The sequence below is a fragment of the Homo sapiens genome, chromosome 19, assembly GCF_000001405.40.
Source record: "Homo sapiens chromosome 19, GRCh38.p14 Primary Assembly".
Lineage (NCBI taxonomy): Eukaryota > Metazoa > Chordata > Mammalia > Primates > Hominidae > Homo > Homo sapiens.
The window spans coordinates 53,386,627-53,412,431 of record NC_000019.10 but is presented as its reverse complement, the minus strand read 5'-3'; the positions used below and the strand labels follow the sequence as shown (position 1 = coordinate 53,412,431).

The following is a 25,805-nucleotide window of genomic DNA, read 5'->3' as shown; positions in this document are numbered from 1 at the left end:
CCTTGTACTAGAAAACTGTATTCAAGAGGATGTAAAAAGGATTGTAGATATTCAAGTGCCACTTATTTCTGGGATGCAAGGATGGTTCAACATATTCAAGCAAATCAATGTGATATGCCACTTGAACAGAATGAAAGATGAAAACCACATCATCTTAATAGAGGGAGAAAAAGCATTTCACAAAATTCAAAATCCAGTCATCATAGAAATCCTAAACAAAATAGATAGAAAGGAAATTTACCTAAACAATAGAAAGACCATCCATGAAATGACCAATGAGTGAATAATCAAGTAGGGAAAATGGAATGCCTTTCCTGGAGGATCTCACATGATGCAAGAGTGCTCTCACCCCTTCTATTCAATCAATACTGGCTGTCCTAGCTAGAGCAATTAAATAGCAGAAGAAATCAAACTCATCGAAATCAGAAAGAAAGAAGTAAAATTATATTTGTTTGTAGACGACATGATCTTCTGTGCAGAAAATCACAAAGAGTCAACCAAAATACTACTGGAACTAAGTAACATATTCAGTGGATTTGCACAATACAGTATCAGCACCAAAAATTAGTTGAATTTCCATACTTTTAACAACAAACAACTTTAAAAGAAAATTTTAAAACACTTCCATTGGCTGGAGAACTTAAAGTAAGAAATACTTAGAAATAAACGTAAAAAGGTCAGAGGTTTTTACCTTGAAATCTACAAACATTGATCAAAATGATTAGAAACATAGAGCTACAACCCATACTTATGGTTTGGAAAAATTAATATTGTTAAATGATTATATAACCCAATGTGATTTAGATTCAACACGGTACCCATAAAAATCCTTATCACTGGGGCTGGGCGCAGTGGCTCACGCCTGTAATCCCAGCACTTTGGGAGGCCGAGGTGGGTGGATCATCTGAGGCTGGGAGTTCAAGACCAGCCTAACCAACATGGAGAAACCCCATCTCTACTAAAAATACAAAATTAGCTGGGCGTGGTGGCTCATGCCTGTAATCCTAGCTACTCTGGAGGCTGAGGCAGGAGAATTGCTTGAACCTGGGAGGCGGAGGTTGTAGTGAGCTGGGATCGCTCCATTGCAGTCCAGCCTGGGCAACAAGAGTGAAACTCCATCTCAAAAAAAAAAAAAAAAATCCCTATCAGTTTTTGTTAAAGAAACAAAAAACAGGCTGGGAAAATGGCTCACGTCTGTTGGCCAGGCTGACCTCAAACTCCTGAACTCAAGTGATCTACCGGTGCTGGCCTCCCAAAGCGCTCAGATTACAGGTGTGAGCCACTGTGCCTGGCCCAGTCCTCTTAACATAAACACTTTAATGTCAATTAAGGCTTCAACTCAATGTTAAGTCAAACTCAAGTCAATGCTGAACTGACTCTAGTGTCAATTAATGCTTGATGGTTTGCTATACACATTGTATTTGGAACAACTATCTCCAAAATGAATTTTCTGATATCCTGCAAGGAGTGAGCTCAGACTGAAGACTTTGGCACACTGATGACATTTATAAGATTTCTGTCCAGTATGCATTCTCTGATGTCTAGTGAGGTGTGAATGTGAATTAAAGGCTTTGCCGCAATCATCACACTTGTGAGGTTTCTCTCCTGTATGAATTCTCCTATGTTTTGCATAGAATGAAGCTTGACTGAGACCTTGTCACAATCATGACATTTGTAAGGTTTCTCTCCAGTACGAGTTCGCCGATGAACTGCAAGTTATGAACAATGTCTGAAAAATTTGCCAAATTTATTAAACTAGTATGATCTCTCTTCATTATGGATTCTCCAATGATTCGCAATGGTTGTAGTGTAACTGAAGACTTTGTGACAATCATTACATAAGTAAAGTTTCCCTACACCATGGATTGCCTGATGGTAAACAAGTGTTGACTGCCCACTAAAGACCTGTCACATTCATTATACTTGTAAGCTTTCTCTCCAATGTGAATTCTAGGATGTTGTGCCAGGTGCGAATTATGCCTGAAAGCCTTGTCACAAACTCTTACATTTTTATGCTATCTCTCCAGTAGGAATTCTCCTGTGTCTTTCAAGGTTTGAGTGTGACTGAAAACTTGGTGACATTCTTCACATATGTAAGCTTTCTCTCCAGTATGAATTCTCCTGTCTTTGGAGGCTTGATTTGCGACTGTAAACTTTGTCACATGCTTCACATTTGTAACGTTTATCTCCAGTATGAATTCTATGATGATGTGCAAGCTTTGCTTTTTGATTTAAAACCTTGCCACGTTCATTACACTGCTAAGGTTTCTCTCTAGTATGAATTCTATGACTATCAAGGTTTGATTTGAATCTGAAAGCTTCATCACATTCTTCACATTTGTAAGGTTTCTAATACGACTTCACCCATGAACTGCAAAGGTATGAAGGATGTCTGAAAAATTTTCTGCATTTATTCTGCATTTATCACACTTGTAGGATCTCTCTTCATTATGGATTCTCCAATGATTTGCAATAGTTGTAGCATTACTCAAGACTTGGTGACAATCATTACATTTGTAAAATGCTGACTGCCCATGAAAGGTTTTTCTACACTCATTATCCTTGTAAGGTACCTCTCCAGTATGAAGTCTACGATGGTGCGTAAGGTATGACTTCAGACTAAAGGTCTTGCCACACTCACTACACTTTTAAGGTATCTCTCCAGTATGAAGTCTATGATGGCATGTAAGGTATGAGTTCTGACTAAAGGTCTTGCCACACTCATTACATTTGTAAGGTATCCTCCAGTATGAAGTCTACGATGGCGTGTAAGGTATGAGTTCTGACTAAAGGTCTTGCCACACTCATTACACTTGTATGGTTTCTCTCCAGTATGAATTCTCCTTTGTCTTTCAAGGTTTGATTTGAAATGGAAAACTCAAATTCTTCACATTTGTAAGGTTTCTCTCCAGTACGAAGTCTACAATGGCATGTAAGGGATGAGGTCTGGCTGAAGGTCTTGCCACACTCATTACACCTGTAAGGTTTCTCACCAGTGTGAATTCTCCTATGTCTTTCAAGGTTGGATTTGAAACAGAAAGCTTCTTCACATTCTTCACATTTGTAAGGTCTCTCCACTATGAAGTTTATGATGGTACACAAAAGATGACGTATGACTCAAGGTCTTGCCACACTCATTACACTTGTAAGATTCTCTTCAGTACGAATTTTCTGATGTATTTCAAGGTTTGATTTGAAATTGTAAGCTTTGTCAAGTTCTTCATATTTGTAAGGTTTCTCTCCACTATGAAGCCTACGATGGCATGTAAGGGTTAACTCCTGATTGAAGGTCTTACCACACTCATTACACGTGTAGTTTCTCTCCAGTATAAATTCTCCTATGTCTTTCAAGGTTTGATTTGAAACTGAAAGCTTCATCACAATCTTCACATTTGTAAGGTTTCTGTCCAGTATGAAGTCTATGATGGTATGTAAGGGATGACGTCCGGCTGAAGGTCTTGCCACACTCATTACACTTGTAAGGATTCTCTTCAGTATGAATTTTCTGATGTATTTCAAGGTTTGATTTGAAACTGTAGGCTTTGTCACATTCTTCACATTTGTAAGGTTTCTCTCCACTATGAAGTCTACAAATGTTAAGGGTTAACTGCTGATTGAAGGTCTTGCCACACTCATTACACTTGTAAGGTTTCTCTTCAGTATGAAGTCTACGATGGTATGTAAGAGATGACTTGTGACTAAAGGTCTTGCTACACTCATTACACTTGTAAGGTTTCTCTCCAGTATGAACTCTATGATGGCATGTAAAATGTGACTTCCGACTAAAGGTCTTGCCACACTCATTACACTTGTAAGGTTTCTCTCCAGTATGAAGCCTACGATGGCATGTAAGGTACGACTTCTGACTAAAGGTCTTGCCACACTCATTACACTTGTACGGTTTCTCTCCAGTATGAATTCTCCTATGTATTTGAAGCTTTGATTTGAAATGGAAAGCTTTGTCACATTCTTCACATTTGTAAGGTTTCTCTCCAGTATGAAGTCTACGATGGCATGTTAGGTAATATGTCTGACTGAAGGTCTTGCCACACTCATTACACTTGTAAGGTTTCTCACCAGTGTGACATCTACGATGGCGTGCAACGTATCGCTTCGAATTAAAGACCTTGCCACATATATCGCATTTATATTGTTTCTCTCCTAAATGGATTAACTGATGTTTCCTTAAGAGTGAGCTACAATTATAGGCTTTGCCACTGTCATTGCATTGGAAAGATTTTTCCCTCATATGTACTTCCTGTTTTTGTGTGAATAATGAAGAATTCAGGAAATTATTCCCATAGTCATTAGAAATATGGGTTTCAGGCCTACAAGAAATTCTTTGGGCTGTTGAAACCAAGGAAGCATCGTGGATAGACTTCACAACTTGATTATCAATTTTCTCTTCAGTGTGAAATATGTGCAGTTCAGGCAGATGCGAATGAAAGCTGAATCCAAGCTGATATTTAACAGGCTTGTTTCCAGCATAATTTTGATCATATCGCTCTGTACTACCTGTCAACTTTTTGATTTTTGTCATGAGTGCTTCATGGCCATTTCTTTCATCTTCTTGCCACTGAAACTCAATGTCATGAATATCTTTATCAATATCCTGGAAACAAAAATCTCCATTGTGATGACTTTCATGTCTTTGAGATGTCCCTGCATGGAACACTTCTCTATTGCCTTGTGCTGTTGACGAGAACTCCTTCATCATGCATTTGGAAGAGATATCTAAAAAGTATACACACCAAAAGGTTTCAAATTAAGTACAGATGGTAAATAATGCTGAAATGTGTAAATATGACACAAAAAACAATACTTATTTTAAACTTTGCAAACATGACCCTCAAAGTTTAGGAACAGAAAAGCATAAGATTCTTTAACAAATAAAGGGCGATTACATGTGCTTCAAATTATTTTTACGGAAGTCTATTTCCAATATCGTGACAAAACACTGACAGGGCACAAAAACGTGTAGCCTAAAGTAAGGAATATTTTTCCATCGTGACCCTAAAGTGTCTAACAGTTTGTAAAAAACATATCACTGTCACATCAATGAAAAGTATATATTCTTCACATTTACAGCATATTTACTGTATACAAATAGATGCTAAAGGACCACATGATGTACTGTGTTGGAAAATAATCCACAACAAGATTATGTAAGGATAACCAAAATCAATGGAAATTCTGTATTGTCAAACAATCATAGCACTGAGAAGATAAGAAAAGATTACAAAATGTAATTTTTAATCTTTTTTAGTCCCAAATTTTTAGTCCCACGTACTCATGGGACTCACGAGGCACAAGAATCGTTTGAACCCAAGAGGCAAAGGTTGCAGTGAGCTGAGATTGCACCACTGTACTTCAGCCTGGGTGACAAAGTGAGATTCCATCTTGAAAAAAAATGTTAATACAATGTTTTTCTGAATAACTGTCATAAAATTACCTATATCCTTGCAGAAAAGGCACATTTTGACATTTTTAAACAAATTTTTTATTTTTATATTTTTGAGATGAAGTTTCACTCTGTCACAACCGCCTGGAGTTCAATGGCCCGATCTCAGCTCACTGCAACCTCCACCTTTTGGGTTCAAGCCATTCTCCTGCCTCAGCCTCCTGAGTACCTGGGATTACACGCACACACTACCACGTTTGGCTAATTTTTGTATTTTTAGTAGAGATAGGGTTTCAACATGTTGGCCAGGCTGGCCTCGAACTTATGACCTCAAGTGATCCAGCCACCTCAGCCTCCCAAAGTCCTGGGATTGCAGGCGTGAGCCACAGCATCCGGTGGCACTGTGTGACATTAACTAGTGGACTGTGTCAGTTATATTGCATACCACATACCGAAAAGCCTCATGTACAATCATAAAAATTAATTAGTAAAATATTGTAACCCATAAAACCAGGAAGCAAATAATAAGTACATTTATACAACATGCAAAATTCTAAACAATTCCCTGTTAAGAAAAATGCCACGACTTCTACTTGCCACCAGCAGACAATATAAGAACTGAAATACATGTTAAGATCACTACCTTCTGACTTATGAGGTCAAAAAAATACACAGCATTATAAGGAATAAGAATTGACTAACGGCTGGACACGGTGGCTCAGGTCTGTAATCCCAGCACTTTGGGAGGCTGAGGTGGGCAGATCATGAGGTGAGGAGTTCAAGAGTAGCCTGGCCAACATGGTGAAATCCCCACTCTACTAAAAATACAAAAAAATTAGCTGGGCATGGTGGTGGCTGCCTGTAATCTCAGCTACTTGGAAGGCTGAGGCAGGAGAATCATTTGAACCCAGGAGGTGGAGGTTGTAGTGAGCCGAGATTGCACCTGTGCACTCCAGCTGAGTGACAGAGTGAGATTTCATCTCCAAAAAAAAAAAAAAAAAAATTGACTAACGGTGTCAGAGGGTGCAATTATGATGTCACAACTACATTTATGAAACAGCCAGGCAATACAGCAATTTTATATATATATATATATATATATATATATATATATATATATATATATAGTTGGTATTAATTATCTAGTTCACTATGCACAAAATATAAAACATAGAATGTGTACTGGGAAAATTTTTAAACTGAGATCAGTGAAAACATTTTATAAATCAAATCATACAATAAAAACACAAACAATATGATGCAGCCTCCCTGGTCTGAATGTTCATATTGGCCAAAAGCCATGTTCAGAGTTCTTATTCTCCAAAAGGATGTTCTGCAGATGGGGCCTTTGAGACAATTTGGTCATGGGTGTTGACTACTCGTGAATAGGACTTGTGCTTTCATAAAAAGAGATATTAAAGAGCTCGTTGCCTGTTCCTGTTTCCACCATGTCAGGACACGGCAGGAAGATGGCTGGGCTAAACCATGAAGAATGCTCTCACCAGGAACCAATTTGGCTGGCACCTTGCTCTTGGATTTCCCACTTTCCAAATTCATGAGAAATAAATTTCTGTGTCTGAAGCCTCCCAGTTTAAGCTATTTCTCTTTTTGTTTGTGTTTGAGACTGAGTCACATACTATCACCCATGCTGGAGTGTAGTGGCATGATTTTCCCACCTCAGCCCGGAGTCTTACTTTGTTGCCTGGACTGGAGTGTAGTGGGGCAATCTTGGCTCACTGCAACCTCCACCTCCCAGGTTCTAGTGATTCTCCTGCCTCGGCCTCTCAAGTACTTGGGATAACAGCCTTGCGCCACCACGCTCAGCTAATTTTTGTATTTTTAGTAGAGACGGGGTTTCAACATGTTGGCCAGGCTGGTCTTGAACTCCTGACCTCAGGTGATCTGCCCCTCTCGGCCTCCCAAAGTGCTGGGATAACTGGCTTGAGCCACCGTGCCCGGCCAAATTCTTGTATTTAGTAGATTTGAGGTTTCACCATGCTGGCAAGACTGGTCTCAAACTCCTGACTTCAAGCGATCTGCCCACCTTGGCATCCCAAACTGTTGGGATTAGAGGTGTGAGCCACCTCGGGTGGCCAGTCTAAGCTATTTCTGACAGTGAAATGACTGAGGCAGGAACAGGAGCATCTCATCATCAACATCACTGAAGGCTGACAAATCTGATTAAACAAAGGAAGTTTAGAGCCTGTACCATAAATCTTGCAATACCTGAAGCCATCTATAGCAATTACGTGTTTTAAAAACTTTGAGGCTGGCCAGGCATGGTGGTTCACGCCTGTAATCCCAGCACTTTGGGAGGCTGAGGCAGGAGGATCACGAGGTCAGGAGATGAAGAACATACTGGCTAACAGGGTGAAACCCCATTTCTACACAAACACACACACACACACACATTAGCCAGGTGTGGTGGCATGTGCCTGTAGTCCCAGCTACTTGGGAGACTGAAGCAGGAAAATCACTTGAACCTGGGAGGCAGAGGCTGCAGTTAGCCAAGATCGCACCACCGCACTCCAGCCTGGGTGACAGACCGAGACTCCGTCTTAAAAAGAAAAAAAGAAAGAAATGAAAGAATTCTAAAGAGTATCTCCAACCCACAAATATATATAAAGTTCTCCAGTAAAGGTAAATAAAAAGACAGGCCGGGCACGGTGGTTCACACCTATAATCCCAGTAGTTTAGGAGGCCGAGGTTGGTGGATCACTTTAGGGCAGGGGTTCGAGACCAGCCTGACCAAAAAGGAGAAAGCCTGTGTCTACTAAAATACAAAATTAGCTAGGTGTGGTGGCACATGCCTGTAATCCCAGCTACTCAGGACACTGAGGCAGGAGAATCACTTGAACCTGGGAGTTGGAGGTTGGAGTGACCCGAGATTGTGCCATTGCACTCCAGCATGGGCGACAAGAACAAAACTTCATCTCATCAACAAAGAAATAAATAAATGAATAGGCAAATAACAGGACACATACAGAAACTGGTGTAAGTATACCTTCTCTAGATAATTCAACTTTTTTTTCTGTTATTTAGAAGAAAAAAGCATGAAAAAACACTACATATATGTTAATGCGAATGCAACATACAGAGAAATAATTCTGACATAAATACAGAGTTCTAGTAGAGAAAGAGTGGCTTTTGCAGGTTATGGAATTTTGTTGTTGTTGTTTTTTTTTTTTTGAGACAGAGTCTCGTGCTGTCACCCAGGCTGGAGGGCAGTGGCACAATCTCGGCTCACTTCAACCTCCACCTCCAGGGTTCAAGCGACTCTCCTGCATTAGACTCTTGAGTAGCAGGATTACAGGCGCCCACCACAGTGTCCGGCTAATTTGTGTGTTTTAGTAGAGACGGAGTTTCGCCATGTTAGGCAGGCTGGTTTTGAACTCCTGACCTCAGGTGATTTGCCTGCCTCGGCCTCCCGAAGTGCTGGGATTACAGGCGTGAGCCACTGGGGCACAAAAATTGTTTGAGCCTGAAAGGCGGAGCCGGCTGCGGTGAGCCAAGATCGTACCATTGAACTGTAGCCTTGGGGACAGAGTAAGACTCCATCATAAACAAACAAACAAACAAAAGTCAATAAGAAGGGAGTCAAAGCATGTCTACACAAAAAAGCAAATAAACACAAAAGTAGTAAATGAGAAATGAAGAACAAAAAAACCTACAATAAATACAGATAATATGTAACAGAATCACAAGGGTAAGGTCTTCTCCATCAGTAATACTTCAACTGTAAGTATTTAATCTGCACTCAGAAGGCAAAGACTGGCTGAATCAACAGGAATCAACTACATGTTGTCTACAAGAGACTCACAGACTCAGCCTTAAGGACACACATATGAAATTTTTTTTTCTTTTTTTTTTTGAGACAGAGTCCCGCTCTGTCGCCAGTCTGGAGTGCAGTGGCAATCTTGGCTCACTGCAACCTCTGACTCCCAGGTTCATGTGATTTTGTTGTCTCAGCCTGGATTACAGGCACGTGCCACCACACCTGGCTAATTTTTGTATTTTTAGTAGAGAGGGGGTTTCACCCTGTTGGCCAGGGTGGTCTTGATCTCCTGACCTCGTGATCCACCCACCTCAGCCTCCCGAAGTGCTGGGATTACAGGTGTGAGCCACCATGCCCAGCTGCACATATGCAAAAATTTTTAAAATAAAAGCCAATAATTAGGTATGGGGTTTGGCACCTGTAATCCCAGCTACTCGGGAGACTAAGGAGGATCTCTGGAGCCCAGGAGATCAGGATGAATTTCAACAACACAGCAAGACCCTGTCTGGAAAAAAAACAAACTAAAAAAGTTGCCCGACATGGTGGCATGCACCTGTACCAGCTACCAGGGGAGGCTCAGGTGGGACAATCACTTGAGCCCAGGAATTCAAGATTGCAGTGAGCCATGATCACACCATTGTACTCCACCCGGGCTGACAGAGAGAGACACTTTATCTAAAAACAAGAGAAAATATAGGCCGGGCACGGTGGCTTATGCCTGTAGTCCCAGCACTTTGGGAGGCCGAGGTGTGTGGATCACGAGGTCAGGATTTCAAGGCCATCCTGGCTAACATGGTGAAACTCCGTCTCTAGTAAAAAATAGTACAAAAAATTAGCCAGGCATGTTGGTGGGTGCCTGTAGTCCCAGCTACTTGGGAGGCTGAAGTAGGAGAATGGCGTGAACCCGGGAGGCGGAGCTGGCCGTGAGCCGAGATCATGCCACAGCACTCCAGCCTGGGCGACAGAGCGAGACTCCATCTCAAAAAAAAAAAAAAAAAAAAAAAAAAGGAGAGAAAATACAAAGATACGCAAGGGCACATCCCCAGGAGGGAAGTCATCCTCACCCAGGGAGACCAGGTTCCTATAATTCTCCAGCATCACGTCCCTGTATAGAGTCCTCTGAGCAGGGTCCAGGCATTTCCACTCCTCCTGAGAGAATTCTATGGCCACATCCCTGAATGTCAATAGACCCTGAAATGAAAACACATTTTAACCAAATGGTTATGGGAGGAGTTCTTATCTTTACAGAAAATGAGAAGAAGAGAGAGGTGAAGGCATGGATTTAAATGCAGTGAATGTTCTAACAAATCTGAGTAAGGGATTTTTCACCGCATTTTGTCTTCCCAGTTGTGTTTACTAAAGTTCTTTTTTTTTTTTTTAAAGGTGGAGTCTCACTCTGTTGCCCAGCCTGGAGTGCAATGGCACAGTCTCTGCTCAATGCAACCTCCAAGTCCCAGGATCAAACGATTCTCCTGCCTTAGCCTCCTGAATAGCTGAAATTATAGGCACGTGCCACCACGACCAGTTAATTTTTGTATTTTTAGCAGAAACGGGGTTTCACCATATTGCCCAGTTTGGTCTCAAACTCCTGACCTCCTGATCTGCCTGACTCAGCCTCTCAAAGTGCTGGAATTACATGCATGATCCACCGTGCCCGGCCCAGAAACGTTTTTTTTTTTATTTTTATTTTTTTGAGACGGAGTCTCGCTCTGTCGCCCAGGCTGGAGTACAGTGGCGCGATCTCGGCTCACTGCAAGCTCCGCCTCCCCGGTTCACGCCATTCTCCTGCCTCAGCCTCCCGAGTAGCTGGGACTACAGGCGCCCACCACCACGCCCAGCTAATTTTTTGTATTTTTAGTAGAGACGGGGTTTCACCGTGTTAGCCAGGATTGTCTTGATCTCCTGATCTCGTGATCCGCCCACCTCGGCCTCCCAAAGTGCTGGGATTACAGGCGTCAGACACAGTGCCCGGCCCAGAAACATTTATTGACACACCAAGTGACATTCAGTATCTAGATGAGGCAGAGTATGAATGATGTCTTCAGAGATGACATTCACAGTTCACAGTGAAAGATGAGAAACTAAAATCTGGCTGGGTGCAGTGGCACATGCCTGTTATCCCAGCTACCTGGGAGGCTGATGCAGGAGAATTGCTTGATCCCAGGAGGCAGAGGTTGCAATGATCCGAAATCGCACCACTGCACTACAGTCTGGGCAACAGATACTCCATCTCCAAAAAAAAAAAAAATTAGCGAATTAGCGAGGCATGGTGGCAGGCACCTGTGGTTCCCAGCTACTTGGGACCCTGAGGTAGGAAGATGGCTTGAGCCTCAGGGTGGAGGTTTCAGTGAGCTAAGATCGTGCCACTGTGCTCCAGCCTGGGCAACACAGTAAGACCCAGTCTCAAAACAAAAGAAAATATATGAAAACTAGATTACTCAAAGTATGAAAATCCATTTTATGTATGTGTGTATATATATATATATATATATGTCAACAAATAATGAAACCTACACAGACTCACAAAAAACTAGATGTTAATACAAAGGGTTGTCATTTTCCCCAGATTTTCAAAATGGAAAAGTTGTTCAAAATATATATATTTGTGCATGTGTATATGTATGTATATGTATATGTGTATGTGTATATTGTGTGTGTGGGTGTGTATACATATAAAGGCTTTAAAAATATAAAAAGTAGCAAGTTTTGTTGAACTGAAGAGGAATCTCATCTTGCTGCAAAAGGATACATTGGCAGTTGGGGACAGGGGGGAATCTTGTCAGATCTAAGAAAACAGGAAATGCCTCATCCTAGAGGAAGTAATCACCCTTTCAACTGCCTGACCTGGAGGAATCGTGAGATATCTGTAGTAACGCGGGTGTGCACAGAGGCAGCCACTATGGCACTCTTTATACAGGGAAAAGTTGCAAAGGCCCATTTGTCATTCAGCCAATTTCCAATGCAGATGTCAAAGAGCAAGCTATCCACGTTTACTAACATGAGAACATGTAAATTTTCACAACCAGCAGGATCAAATATCGAAGTAAAATATTTACTGGAGCACAAAGAAAACAACAGACACTGGCGTCTACTTGAGGGTGGAGGGTGGGAGGAAGGAGAAGACTAGAAAAAATAACTACTGGGGGCCAGATGCGGTGGCTCATGCCTGTAATCCCACCACTTTGAGTGGCTGAGGCAGGTGGATCAAATGTCAGGAGTTCAAGATCAGCCTGGCCCACATGGTGAAACCCTGTCTCTACTAAAAATACAAAAATTATCAAGGCATGGTAGCAGGCCCCTGTAATTTCAGCTACTCAGGAGGCTGAGGCAGGAGAATCACTTGAACCCGGGAGGCAGAGGTTGCAGTGAGTTGAGATCATGCCATTATGCTCCAGCCTGGACAAAAAGAGCAAAACTCAGTCTCAAAAAAATAAATAAATAAAAAATAACTATTGGGTACGGGACTTAACACCAGAGTGATGAAATAACCTGAACAACAAACCCCGATGACCCTAGTTTACCTATGTAAGAAACCGGAACATATGGCCCCAAACGTAAAAATTTTTTTTTTTTTTTGAGATGGAGTCTTGATCTGTGCCCAGGCTGGGGTGCAGTGGCACAATCTCAGCTCACTGCAATGTCTGCTTCCCAGGTTCAAGTGATTCTCCTGCCTCAGCTTCCTGAATAGCTGGGATTAGGGGCACGTGCCATCACGCCAGGCTAATTTTTGTAAAAAAGTTATTTTTTTTTCAATTTATTGAATAATTTTTTCTAAAGTCTCATATGATGCAGAAATACATGTGTATGAGACTTGCTCTGACGCCTGGCACAGAACTGACAGTGGTGACTCCCCAGTGAGTTTGGAAGAAGGGTGGAGGATGTAACAGGGAAGGGAGATGCCTGATGGCAAAGGGTCTAAGCTGCAGCTTTGCTTGGAGTTTTACCACAAAACAAATATATTCACTATGTGATGTTTAAATAGAAAAATATATATTTTGGGGACTGTTGTGGGGTGGGGGAGGGGGGAGGGATAGCATTAGGAGATATACCTAATGCTAAATGATGAGTTAATGGGTGCAGCACACCAATATGGCACATGTATACATATGTAACTAACCTGCACATTGTGCACATGTACCCTAAAACTTAAAGTATAATAATAATTTTAAAAAAAAGAAAAATATATATTTAATAATAATCATTGGGGCTGGGCATGGTGGCTTATACCTGTAATCCCAGCACTCCAGGAGGCTGAGGCAGGCAGATCACCTGAAGTCAGTAGTTTGAGACCAGCCTGGCCAACATGGTGATACTCGTCACTAATAAAAATACAACAAAATTAGCTGGGCGTGGTGGTGCACACCTATAATCCCAGCTACTCGGGAGGCTGAGGCAGGAGAATCACTTGAACCCGGAAGGTGGAGGTTGCTGTGAGCCAAGATCATGCCACTGCACTTCAGCCTGGGCGACAAAGCAAGACTTCATATATGTGAAATATAATAATATTATCATAATATAATAGTACTGATAATAAAAATTATAACCAAAACACCTGTTTCACAAGCCTCTCCACAGGAACCCCACAGTCTCCATGAGCGTAATGTGCTAAGAATGGTTGAATGAATCTCCTGCTATTATTCAGGTTGATTTCCTATTCTTAAAATAAAGACGGAATAAAACATCTTGTATCATTCATGTCTGTGTATGAACTTTCCATTCTAATTAGTAAGATAGTTGGAGTCAGAAACACAGTAACTCACTCAATTACCTAAAAATGTAGTATAAAATCAGGCAGAAAAAATTGCTCCATATTGGTCACCTTTTCTAGAATTTACCACATACTTTGTGCACATGAATACATGACTTCCATTGGCAGTTGCTCTAATCCTGGTCTACAGAGAGCTGACAGAGCATCCAGATGTAGCCCCTGAACAATCCCTGCTGCCCAACAGCACTGACACCATGGGACCCTCACCCCATCTCCATCCATGTCTGGGTGTGAGCCCTTCCCAGGACCATGCCCAGTGCAGCCTCTTCCCAAGTTCATGTCACTGGATCATGGGAGATGGAATCTAAGCAAGATAAGAGGGAATGAAGGAAGGCATGGGTGAGTGCGAGCAAACCTGTCAGGCAAGATGCTTCAGACTCAGAGAAGATTCCAAACTCCAAGGTCAGCATTTCTGAAAAGAAGGAGACAGAACAATCCACCAAGAATATCATCTCACCTGAGGAAGAGCCATCCCTGACTCCTTTGCTTTCCTCTTCCTCTTCCAGGTTTCTTCCTCACATACCAAGAGTCTTTAGAAGTCAATCCTGAATGTTAGAAATATGTTGTTTATTGCTCAGAATCAACATATCCCCTCCCTGTAACACAACAACACATACAAAGGAGACCTCATCCTGAGGACATACGGTCCCCTATGCTGCCGACCACACCAGGGACAATAAACTCCTACAGGAAAACTCCCACTCCCCTCCCGGAGAAGCCCACACACACGCTGCAGCAGTGGGGAGCTGGGGTGGGATGAGCTCCCCTTTAGGGCACAGACCCAGGCCTGACCAAACCTCATGCAAAGGCTGGGTGCGGTGGCTCATGCCTGTCATCCCAGCACTCTGGGAGGCCGAGGTGCGTAGATCTCTTGAGCTCAGGTTTGAGACCAGCCTGGGCAACGTGGTGAAACCCCATCTCTACCAAAAGTACAAAAACTTAGCCAGGCATGGTTGTGCACGTCTGTGTGTCTGTGGTCCCAGTTACTTAGGAGGCTGAGGTGTGAGGATCGCTTGAGCTCAGGAGTTCGAGACCAGCCTGGCCAACATGGTGAAACCCTGTCTCTACTAAAAATTCAAAAATTGAGCCGGGCACACTTAAGTTTACACGCTTAACCGCATCATAAAGTTGCAAGCAGTACTTGGAATCATCACTAATGAAACAGCAAATGCATTAGACTTACTGGCCCAGCAAGCCACAAAAATGAGAAATGCCATCTACCAAAATAGATTAGCTTTCGACTACCTCCTAGCCTAGGAAGGAGGAGTATGTAGAAAGTTTAATCTAACTAATTGCTGCCTAGAAATCAATGACAATAGGAAGGCTGTTATAGAAGTAACTGCAAGAATAAAAAAATTATCCCATGTTCCAGTCCAGACTTAGACAAAGTAGACTCCCGAGTCCCTCTTTAGAGGCTGGTTTTCCTCCTTCAGTCGATTCAAAACCTTAACAGGAGTGGTTCTAGAAATACTAAGAATTGGTTTAATACTCCCTTACCTCACCTCTCCTTGTTAAGAACGTTCAATCAACTATAGAAGCAATTGTGACTAGGCAGACTACCACTCAGCTAATAGCTCCATATAAATATCAGCCTGTGCCTAAAGAAGAAAACCTGCTCTTTCATGAAGAATCCAGTAATAGTGGTGCTTTCTATTAAAACCTTATTTATAAAAAGCAGCAAAGGGAGAAAACTGAGGCAGAAATTTAAAAAATCAATATGCATTCATTCACTCCAAAAAACTAACAGGCAAGGCAAGGGTTAAAAAGAAAAGAAGAACAAGTTTTCCTCTGCCTAGCAAGCTCACTTCAAGGACAGTTATAAGATAACGCTTTTTGTGCAGCTGAAGCCAAAGGAATGAGCTCCAGAAAACCCCACTTTAGAACAAGAGTGAAGAAAAAAAAAGTCTGTATTTAGCTGTTCTTGTTTTTCTTTCAATGCAGCTACAAGACCACCAGCTATGCAAGGCCACAAGTTATGCTATGCTATAGATTATGTGACCAATCATTACATGATTAACTGCTTTTATTTTGCTTCTGTAAGCCTGCTTATAAAAACCCCACTCTGTCTTTGTTGAAATGCTCAGCTTTTTAGATGTAAATCCACTGAGCCGGTGCGTACCTTAAATAAACATCGTTCTGTCTCCCGCATACCGGTCTCTCTAGTACTTAGTTTCCCGCAACACCATCTCTGCGCCTCCTCTGCTCTCCCTGTTACATTCTCTCTTCCCTGTTATACCCTCATCCCCACTCTCTAGCACCCCAGATCCCCAGGTGTCCTCCCTGCTGTGCTTCTCCCTCTGTTCTCCTTGCCACCAGCACCACTCTGCTCTGTCTGCCCTGGCTCCAAATCCCTCCTCCTCTCCCTCACTCTGATGAGCCTCCCTCTTTGCTGTCCCTCTCCCTACCTTGCTCTCTGTCCTTCATCTCTCTGTACATCTACCTTTTCTCTACATTTCTCCAGTTGCTTTTCTCCTCCTTTTTTTTTTTTTCCCCCACATTTGCTGTGTCTGGCAAATCCCTCACCCATCCTCTACTTTGCCATCTGTTATGAGTCTTTTTTATTCTTCTTTTCTGTCTCAGGTTTTCTACTGCTCTACGTCTGTCTCCTGATCCCTTTAGCCTACACAAGCACCGGAGGCTTTGGATAAGACACAGGAGGGTTTGGAGCAAAACGCCTGCATCCCGGGGGAGCGCATTTTCCAGGGGCTGGAGCTGGGCAGGCAAGAACACCCCGTGTCACAGGACAGGCCCCGGGCACCTCCCTAACTCGGGCTCAGGGAAAGCAGTGACTGTGGAGGCGAACCTGGGGAGCAGTAGGGCCCGCAAAAGGAGGGAGGCGGCGGCGCCACGGCGCCTTAAGACAAGGGTGGGGTCTGCAGGATCCCAGGACCAGACAGAGGACGCGGCCTCCTTGGGGCTGGGGCCGCCGCGCTGCGTCCAGCTGCCAACGAGGGCGAGACTGGGAGGCGCTCAGGGAGGGAATTCACCTCTCGGGTGAGGACTTTAAAAAGCGCGGGACGGGAGGAGTCAGAAAAAGTTTCAGAGCAGGAAAACTACGTGATAGAAAGTGTATACATTGCCCTATAGCAGAAACACCCGGGACGGGACCAGCCTCAGGGGGACCTTAAACCCAAAAGGAAGCGACCCCCGGACTCTCACGGGGTCGTCTCAACTTGCTCTGGGTGAAGGAAGACGGCTGAGAATTTCCAGGTTAGTGGAGACCCCACGCCCCAGGTACAGAAGCGCCAGGGACCTGGGAAGCACAGACTTAATACAAAACAGAGCGAAACTCACCCGCGGCGGTGGGATAGTCACTCCACGCCGTCCGCTTCCGGGTCTGCGCGAAGCTGCGCGCGCAGGAAAGAAGCCAGGCCTGGGCGGGACCCGCGAGGAGGTGGGCGGGCTTGGGCGAGGTAGGGGCGGGGCAGAGAGACTTTACCCTTTAGAACCGACAGAGGGCGGGGCTGTGGCGGGACCTGTGAGTCTCTCAGCCTGGCTCCCAGGGCCTCAGTTTTCGGGTTTTGGAGGCGAGACCGGCCAGGAAGGCTGAGGCATGATTCAAAAGCCCTGGAATTGTCTGGAACGGGGATGCAAACTGGAATGTAAAATGCAAAGCCCTGCCTGGATGGAACGTACGATTTCATGCTGACAGCCCACAAAACAGAATAGAAATCCTCTCCCTTTCCAGTCTCCATTCACTTGGGAGGGAGAGTCCACCCTGTGCTCAGCTGCAGAGACTTCCCTAGGGCCACCGCCTGGGATGTGGGACGGAATGCTCAGGCCAGCGAGGAGTGAGGTCACCACCTTCTGGATAAACACAGCAGGGATGTGGGCGCGGGCGCGGGAGACTGAGGTCCCAGCTACTCAGGAAGCAGCGGCGGGAGGATTGCTGAGCCTGGGGGTCCAGGCCAGCCTGGGCGACAATGTAACACCCCCTCCCGCAGGGCTCCCTTCCTCGTCACTCTCTCTTTTTTTTCCTTTTTTTTTAAACGTTTTAAAATAAGAGTTTGATTGTGTGAGATAGGGATCTAACAGTATTCTTTTCCATGTGGATATCCAGTTAGTTGCCTCAGCACATTTTTGGAAGAGATTTATTCCTTTATTTATTTACTTATTTCTTTTGTTTTGAGACAGAGTATTTCTCTGTCGCCCAGGCTAGAGTGCCGTGATGGGATCTCGGCTCACTGCAGCCTCTGCCTCCTGGGTTTCAGCGATTCCCCTGCCTCAGCCTCCAGAGTATCTGCAATTACAGGCGCGTGCCACCATGCCCGGCTAATTTTTGTATTTTTGTAGACGAGTTTCACCATGTTGGCCAGTGTGGTCTCAAACTCTTGACTTTAAGGGATCCACCTGCCTGGGCCTCCTCAAAGTGCTGGGATCACAGGCGGGAGCCACCGCGCCTGGCCAAATACTTTTTACTTCACTTTCTAATTGTTAAGAAAATACAATTGAAAACGAAACAAAAAAATCTTCCCCCAAATGACAAAACATCTCCATGACGATAATAGAGAAAGAAATAAACACCATTTTATTAATAAGTAAGCCTTAGACCAGAATGTGATGGGAAATAGAGGCAAAGAGCTAAGAGGTTGAAAAAAGAGAAAGACACTTCACAGTTCTATACAACCCATTAAGTACATGTTTTCAAGATAAACACTAATCAGTCCTCAGGGAAAAGGACTTGACAACACCCTTGGTCACACATAGTTCATCCTGGCTCTAGTTGGTAATGGAGGTGACCATCTGTGTCAGCTAATTAGCTTCATGCAGAGGGAGGGGGAGAAACACTAACCCATGTCTTTTTGACAAGTGTGAGTTTTACAACATGGCTACAGGTGCCCTCTCTGGTGAGGCTCCTACAATGTGACAGAAACTGATGTCAGCAGTAAATAATAACATTTAGAATTTATGATTAAGTATAGAGTTTATCTGAACACAAAGCATGAGGATAGCCACCGGCAAACATCAACTCCTAATGAATGGGATCAACGTTCCCAAGTAGAGACGTTAAGGTTTCACACACAGGGAAAGACAGAGAAGTTTTAGGAGAATCAACACATTTTCCATTCAAGACCAGTGCATAGGTTGCAGCAAGTTGATTGGTGACGGAGTCATACACTTCAAGGAAGGTTATGTTATCACTCCATAAAAAGGGACAATGATCCCAGGAGGCCTTATCTCTGGGGCTGCTTAGTCTTCCTAGTTATTTACAGGAGAACTCTTTTCCTGTAAATAAGGGCAAGACTCGCCCAGGCTGGAGTGCAGTGGGGCGATCTCGGCTCACTGCAACCTCCACCTCTTGGATTCAAGCAGTTCTCCTGCCTCAGCCTCCCAAGTAGCTGGGATTACAGGCACACGCCACCATGCCTGTCTAATTTTTTGTTTGTTTGTTTGAGACAGAGTCTCGCTCTGTTGCCTAGGCTGGAGTGCAGTGACACGATCTCACCTGCTCACTGCAACCTCCACCTCCCGGGTTCAAGCGATTCTCCTGGCCCAGCCGCTAAATTTTGTATTTTTAGTAGTGACAGGGTTTCGCCATGTTGGGCAGGCTGGTCTCAAACTCCTGACCTTGTGATCCGCCCGCCTCAGCCTTCCAAAATGCTGGGATTACAGGCGTGAGCCACCGCGCCTCGCCTTTTGTTTTGCATTTTTAGTAGAGAGTGGGTTTTACCATGTTGGCCAGGCTGGTTCCGAACTTCTGACCTCAAGTGATCTGCCCGCCTTGACCTCCCAATGTGCTGGGATTACAGGCATAAGCCACCGCAGCCAGCCAGGAAAACTCGTAGAAGTTACGCCTGCGTTCCGCTGGACTCAGGTTGCATGAGCACATTCCTCTCAAGGTGTAGCAGGAGCAGCCGCGGATAAAAGCCCTCAGACACCCGGTTAAAGAAAGAAGTGGCTTTATTCAGCCGGGAGCATCGGCCAACTCACGTCTCAAGAACCGAGCTCTTTGAAGACTTTGTTTGGCCGGGAGTGTCGGCAGACCTGCCTCTCAAGAATTGAACCCCCCGAAGAAAGAGTTCCTGGCCCTTTTAAGGGCTTACAGCTCTAAGGGGTTCCACGGGAAAAGGTCATGACAGATTAAGAGCACATGTGGTTAGAGTTGGGGGGCAGTTAATCTTTTAACCTCAGGCCTGGTCATCAGTGGCGCTGGCTGGTCTTGTCACTGAATTCATTCCTGTTGTTTTTCAGCTTTTACTTCCTCCTCTTCAGAGACAGGAGACAGTAAGAGAAATGGCCTCTCTCCTCAAAGGCTCAGAATTATTTAAAGGCCATAGCTTTAAATTGGAATTATTTGATGTTTGAATTACTTAATTTCCTACTGAGATACAGGTACTGTCTCCCTTGTATTTTGCCTTTCAAAGAGAGCTCCCAAGTCCTTCAGAAATACATCCCTGGGTCATTAAGCTGAAAAAAGGTTTAGTTCGTTTCTAAAAAATACCACTTCAGACCAGGCGCGGTGGCTCATGCCTGTAATCCCAGCACATTGAGAGGCCAAGGCGGGCAAATCACTTGAGGTCAGGAGTTCAAAACCAGGCTTGTACCCGGGAGTCGGAGGTTGCGGTGAGCCAAGATCGTGCAATTGCACTCCATCCTAAACAACTAGAGGAAAACTCCATCTGAAAAAAAAAAAAAAAAAAAACTCAGAAGACAGAGAAAATCCATTTGCAAACTTTCGAAATCAGTGTCCTAAGAAAAGAGATGAAAGGAAAGAAAATCTCTTCCTTTATTTTCAAGGGAGGAATTACACCTCTCATTTATTTACGTGTTTGTTTGAGACAGGGTCTAGCTCTGTCACTGAAGCTAGAGTGTGGTGGCGAGATCAGGGCACTGCAGCTTCCAACTCCCTGGCTCAAGTGATCCTCCCACCTAAGTGCCCCGAGCAGCTGGGGCCACAGGCGTGCACCACCACACCGGGCTGTTTTGTTTTTTTTTTTAGTAGAGACGAGGTCTCATCATGTTGCCCAGGCTGATCTTGAACTCCTTGGCTCAAGAGATCCTCCCACCTCTGCCTCTCAAAGTGCTGGTGAGAGGTTAAGCCGGCTGGGCTTCTGGGTCGGGTGGGGACTTGGAGAACTTCTCTGACTAGCTAAAGGATTGTAAACACACCAATCAGGCCTCTGTGTCTAGCTAAAAGTTTGTAAACGCACCAATCAGCACTCTGTAAAAATGCACCTATCAGTGCTCTGTGTCTAGCTAAAGGTTTGAAAATCACCAATCAGCACTCTGTAAAAATGGACCAATCAGCACTCTGTAAAATGGACCCATTAGCAGGACATGGGCAGGGCCAAATTACTGCGAAGGTCTGCAGCTTCACTCCTGAAGTCAGCAAGACCACGAACACACCAGGAGGAAAAAACAACCCCAGACGCGACAGTTTCAAGAGCTGTAACACTCGCTGCAAAGGTCTGCCGCTTCAATCCTGAAGTCAAGCGAGACCACAACCCACCAGAAGGAAAAAACCCCGGACACATCTGAACATCTGAAGGAACAAACTCTGGACATGCCATCTTTAAGAACTGTAACACTCACCGCGAGGCTCTGTGGCTTTACTCTTAAAGTCAGCGAGACCAAGAACCCACCAGAGGGAACCAATTCCAGACACACTGGGATTACAGATGTGAGCCACTACTCTGGGCCCTGACTTTATTTCCATGAAATACGAATTGTCCTTCACCTCCTGTGTGTAATAGGCAGTTTTGCATGTCACCTTTCAGTTCCCATTATCCACTCAACCCAGGATCCTGCTTAGTTTAATAAGCCTTCTCGTTGTCAGTCCCAGCTGCAACCAGCGCCCTACTCCAGTCCTTTACCGAGGTCCCTGCCCCTCTACCCCGCCCTGCTTCAGACTGAGGGGAGCGTGCCCCGCCTGAAGGATGCATGACTCTACCTGCTCCAAAAAGGCTCTTTGCATTAAAACTATTTTCAACTTAAGAGGAAAAACGATTAAGCGTTCGGTACAGGTGGCTCACTACATGTAATATTAGGGGTAATATCACGGTACATCAGAAACAATCCACCAATCAGAACCCGGAGGACCCAGTCCTGGAGGGCAAGAGTATGACAGCAGGCGACAGCCATGGCCCAGCTGAGGAAAGAACCCGGATCCGCCCCCCTTCAGGCCCCGCCCTTCAGAACAAAACCCCTTTCAGACCCCGCCCCGAAAATGATAACCCTCTGGCCCCAGCCCTTCTCGCTGTCCTGGGCGGCCCCAAGGCAGCCTCCTCCCTCTTGCCCCGCCCCAGTCCCGTTCCAGGTCCCACCCCCACCCTCTAACCTGGCCCGGCTTCCAAAGCGGCCTCCACCTTCTGGCCCCGCCCAAGCACCGGTTCAGGCTCCGCCCCCTCGACGACCTTTCCTTCTCCCTCCGGGTCACCGCCGACTGTCCAGAATCCGCCCAGACGGGGTGGAGGGCCTGCCCATGGTTGTTCTGCAGCGCCCGGGGCTGGCTCAGATGAGTGTTTTCTTGGTCTTTCTGCTTCAAACCTGTCTTTCGCAGCACCTTATCCCCGAGTCTAGCCACAGCAGGAATCTGGTTGCTTCGGGATGTTGAAATCCACACGCAAGATTGTGCAGTTGTCAGGGATTTCCAACTCCCCCATGTGAAGCTTGCAGGGCCAGTGCCTCTGCAGCATTTGTGTCGCTTTATACTGTGTTCTCCCCCTTCCAAGATCCTATTGCCCTTTTCAATAATCCCAGTTGGCAGCTGCTGAGCGCCTCACCCTCATCTACCCATGTTTCCCAGCTGTCAGCCCCTTTGTTCTCATGAGCGGTGACTCCACAGTGTCGATCTTTGCTTGGCATGCTGGATGAGGACTACAAAATTCCTACTTTTATGAGAATTGGATCAATTGTTGTTTTTGTATAACGTTCAGTCATTTTGTTGCCTAAAACGAGGTCACAGTCTACACCCCATGTTAACATTCTTGGATCTTGCGTAGTAAAGAATTCAAGGCAAGTGTCCGAATGCAGTGAGGAGAGTTTATTGAAAGCTACCAGTTACACAGTAGGGTGTCCTCAGAAGGCTGGGGGAGTGCCTCCTCATGAAGTTTTTCTTACATAGGGGCCTAAGTAAAAGCTAAGTTATGTCTACCTGCCGGTGAGCTGACAGTGTGACAAAACTTATTACTTTGTTGATTTAAAGCTATCTTTGGCCGGGCACAGTGGCCCAAGCCTGTAATGACAGAACTTTGGAAGGCTGAGGTGGGCAGATCACCTGAGGTCAGGAGTTTGCGACCAGCCTGCTTCTTAAAAGCATACATTGTCATCGGATATTAGGTTATCTTGGACATTGTGTTTCTGTAGGAGTTCGTCCTTGCAGGTATCATGAAGCTGCTTTCCTTAACTGTAAACATCTTATGACCGTGACTCATGCATGAGCAGTAAGGAATATGTTTTGCTAGTTTTAATAAACTTGAACTTTGTCATTCTAGCTTTCCTAGGTTCCTGCTTAACAGTTTATCCATTCATGCAGCACGGAGTTCTAAGCACAGTTATGGAGACACCACTCTCTTGTATCTGACAGGCTGAACTTCTGTCCCAAGAACATAGTAATAGCAATACTAAGTGAAATATTAGGAAGTTTTATGTATGTATATAATTGATCATTTATTATTTGCCATTTAAATTGGCTAAAATTACATAGAATGGGTTATTTAATCAAATATTAGTATGGAATGAGGCCACCACTTCTCCTGTTGTCCTTCCCAGCTTCTCCCCAACCTCCCCTTTTGCCTGGTTTATAAGACAGGAGAAAAGGGAGAAAGCAAAAAGTTGGAAAGAAGCAGAACTAAGATAAATAGCTAGACGACCTTGGCGCCACCACCTGACCCTGGTGGTGAAAATAATAATAATAATAATAATATTAACCCCTGACCAAAACTACTGGTGTTATCTGTAAATTTCAGACATTGTATGAGAAAGTACTGTAAAACTTTCTGTTCTGTTAGCTGATGTATGTAGCCTCCAGTCACATTCCTCACACTTACTTGATTATGACCTTTTCACGTAGACCCCTTAGAGCTGTAAGCCCTTAAAAGGGCTAGGAATTTCTTTTTTGGGGAGCTTGGCTCTTAAGACGCGAGTCTGCTGACACTCCCAGCTGAATAAAAAACCTCTTCCTTCTTTAATCTGGTGTCTGAGGAGTTTTGTCTGTGACTCATCCTGCTACATTAGAAATATGTATCTTTCACAAATGGAATCTAACCACCCAAAGTTGAAGAGCATCTCCCTATGTTGAATAAATATGAAGGAGTTCAAATTTTGGAACTGATATTGTGCTTTCCACTACACCTCATTTTTTTCTTATTCTATTTTGATTTCTTCTGTGTTCATGAGCTTGTGAACCAAAAGTATCTACTAGGTCTCAATCAATTTAGAAATCTATTTTGCCAAGGTTAAAAATGCCCCCGTGACACAGCCTCAGGAGGTCCTGACAACGTGTGCCCAAGGTGTTCAGGCTGCAGTTTGGTTTTACACATTTTAGGGAGACATAATACATCAATCAAAACATGTAAGTTATACATTGGTTTGGTCTGGAAAGGTGGAATAACTGCAATTGGGGGGCTTCTGGGTCACACGTAGATAACAAATGATCACATTGAGTCTTTCATCAGCCTTTCACTGAATACACAATTTTTTTTTTTTTTTCCGTGACAGAGTCTCGCTCTGTCACCCAGGCTGGAGTGCAGTGGCCCGATCTCCACTCACTGCAAGCTCTGCCTCCTGGGTTCACGCCATTCTCCTGCCTCAGCCTCCCGAGTAGCTGGACTACAGGCTTCCACCACCACACCTGGCTAATTTTTTGTATTTTCAGTAGAGACAGGGTTTTACCGTGTTCATGTTTGCCAGGATGGTCTCGATCTCCTGACCTCAGGATCCACCCACCTCGGCCTCCCAAAGTGCTGGGATTACAGGCGTGAGCCACCACCATGCCTGGCCCTGAATACACAATTTACATGTGAGAGGGGGTGGAGGAATAGTCACTTATGCCTTAGACTGCCTCAGTGACTCTACATTTTTACATAAATAGGACAGGGGAAGCAATCAGATAGGCATTCATCTCAGGTGTGCAGAGGGATGGGTTCTGTCCCACACCTGTGAAGATAAGCTATTAGTTTACATTGGCAGTGGGAAATTCAAAAGAACTATTTTAGGGTGGAGATCTCGAGGTCCCCAGTTTGTGAGGGGAGTCTATAGCTTTGTTTTGTTTTGACATGGAATTTCACTCTTGTTGCCCAGGCTGGAGTGCAATAGCGCAATCTCGGCTCACCACAACCTCTGCCTCCTGGGTTCAAGCGATTCTCCTGCCTCAGCCTCCTGAGTAGCTGGGATTACAGGCATGCGCCACCATGCCCGGCTAATTTTGCAGTTTTAGTAGAGACAGGGTTTCTCCATATTAGTCAGGCTGGTCTGGAACTCCTGACGTACTGTGGTTTGCCCACCTCGGCCTCCCAAAGTGCTAGGATTAGAGGCATGAGCCACTGCGCCCAGTCTGTATGTAGCTTTCTTTTAGTCTTTGTAGCTATCTCGTTTAGAAACAAAATGGGAGGTAGGTTTATCTGATACAGTTCCCAGCTTGACTTTTCTCTCTGGCTTAGTCATTTTTATTTTCCTTTCATGAGCTTGTGACAGACATAATGCTTTGACACACTGATATTGTTTTCTATAGACTTTTCCATAACAGAAAGGACAAAGGTCTGTCATTAACTGGGTTAGGGGAGACGAGAAGATTCCCAGGAGACTCCTGGTCTCAACCAATCCTCCCACCTAAGCCTCCCAAAGTGGCAGGACCACAGGTGTGATCCACTGAACCCAGTGGAGTCTCGATCTCAAAACAAAACAAAACAAAACAAAAAACA

The 25,805-nt window shown here is 44.5% G+C and overlaps 2 protein-coding genes and 1 pseudogene across 4 annotated transcripts in view, besides 1 other annotated feature; all 3 read right to left on the bottom strand.

Annotated features, from left to right (window-relative positions):
• Positions 1-17,283, bottom strand: part of ZNF765-ZNF761 (ZNF765-ZNF761 readthrough) — a 63,113-nt gene extending 45,830 nt beyond the window's left edge. The window contains exons 1-3 of the mRNA NM_001350496.2: positions 17,239-17,283; positions 14,402-14,489; positions 10,241-10,367 (exon numbers count right to left, since the gene is read on the bottom strand). The gene's annotated coding sequence lies outside the window, so the exon portion shown is untranslated. The remainder of the gene's footprint in view (positions 1-10,240; positions 10,368-14,401; positions 14,490-17,238) is intronic.
• The window catches only part of ZNF765 (zinc finger protein 765), a 32,173-nt gene extending 14,890 nt beyond the window's left edge, over positions 1-17,283 (bottom strand). The window contains exons 1-4 of one of the 3 annotated variants that reach the window (NM_001040185.3): positions 17,239-17,283; positions 14,402-14,489; positions 10,241-10,367; positions 423-4,734 (exon numbers count right to left, since the gene is read on the bottom strand). In NM_001040185.3, coding sequence (NP_001035275.1) covers positions 3,305-4,734; positions 10,241-10,367; positions 14,402-14,416 — 1,572 coding nt within the window. In that variant the 5' untranslated portion in view covers positions 14,417-14,489; positions 17,239-17,283 and the 3' untranslated portion in view covers positions 423-3,304. Of the gene's footprint in view, positions 1-422; positions 4,735-10,240; positions 10,368-14,401; positions 14,490-17,238 lie in introns of those variants that run through there. The other 2 variants (NR_146721.2, NM_001350495.2) reach the window with 2 other exon arrangements.
• On the bottom strand, positions 1,385-2,557 carry LOC124904793 (putative zinc finger protein 137; annotated as a pseudogene).
• Positions 17,214-17,413: a silencer, noted in NCBI's record as "silent region_11009". NCBI's record gives its function as "represses an Ori minimal core promoter by ATAC-STARR-seq in GM12878 lymphoblastoid cells {active_cell/tissue: GM12878}" and the evidence as "EXISTENCE:reporter gene assay evidence [ECO:0000049][PMID:35858748]".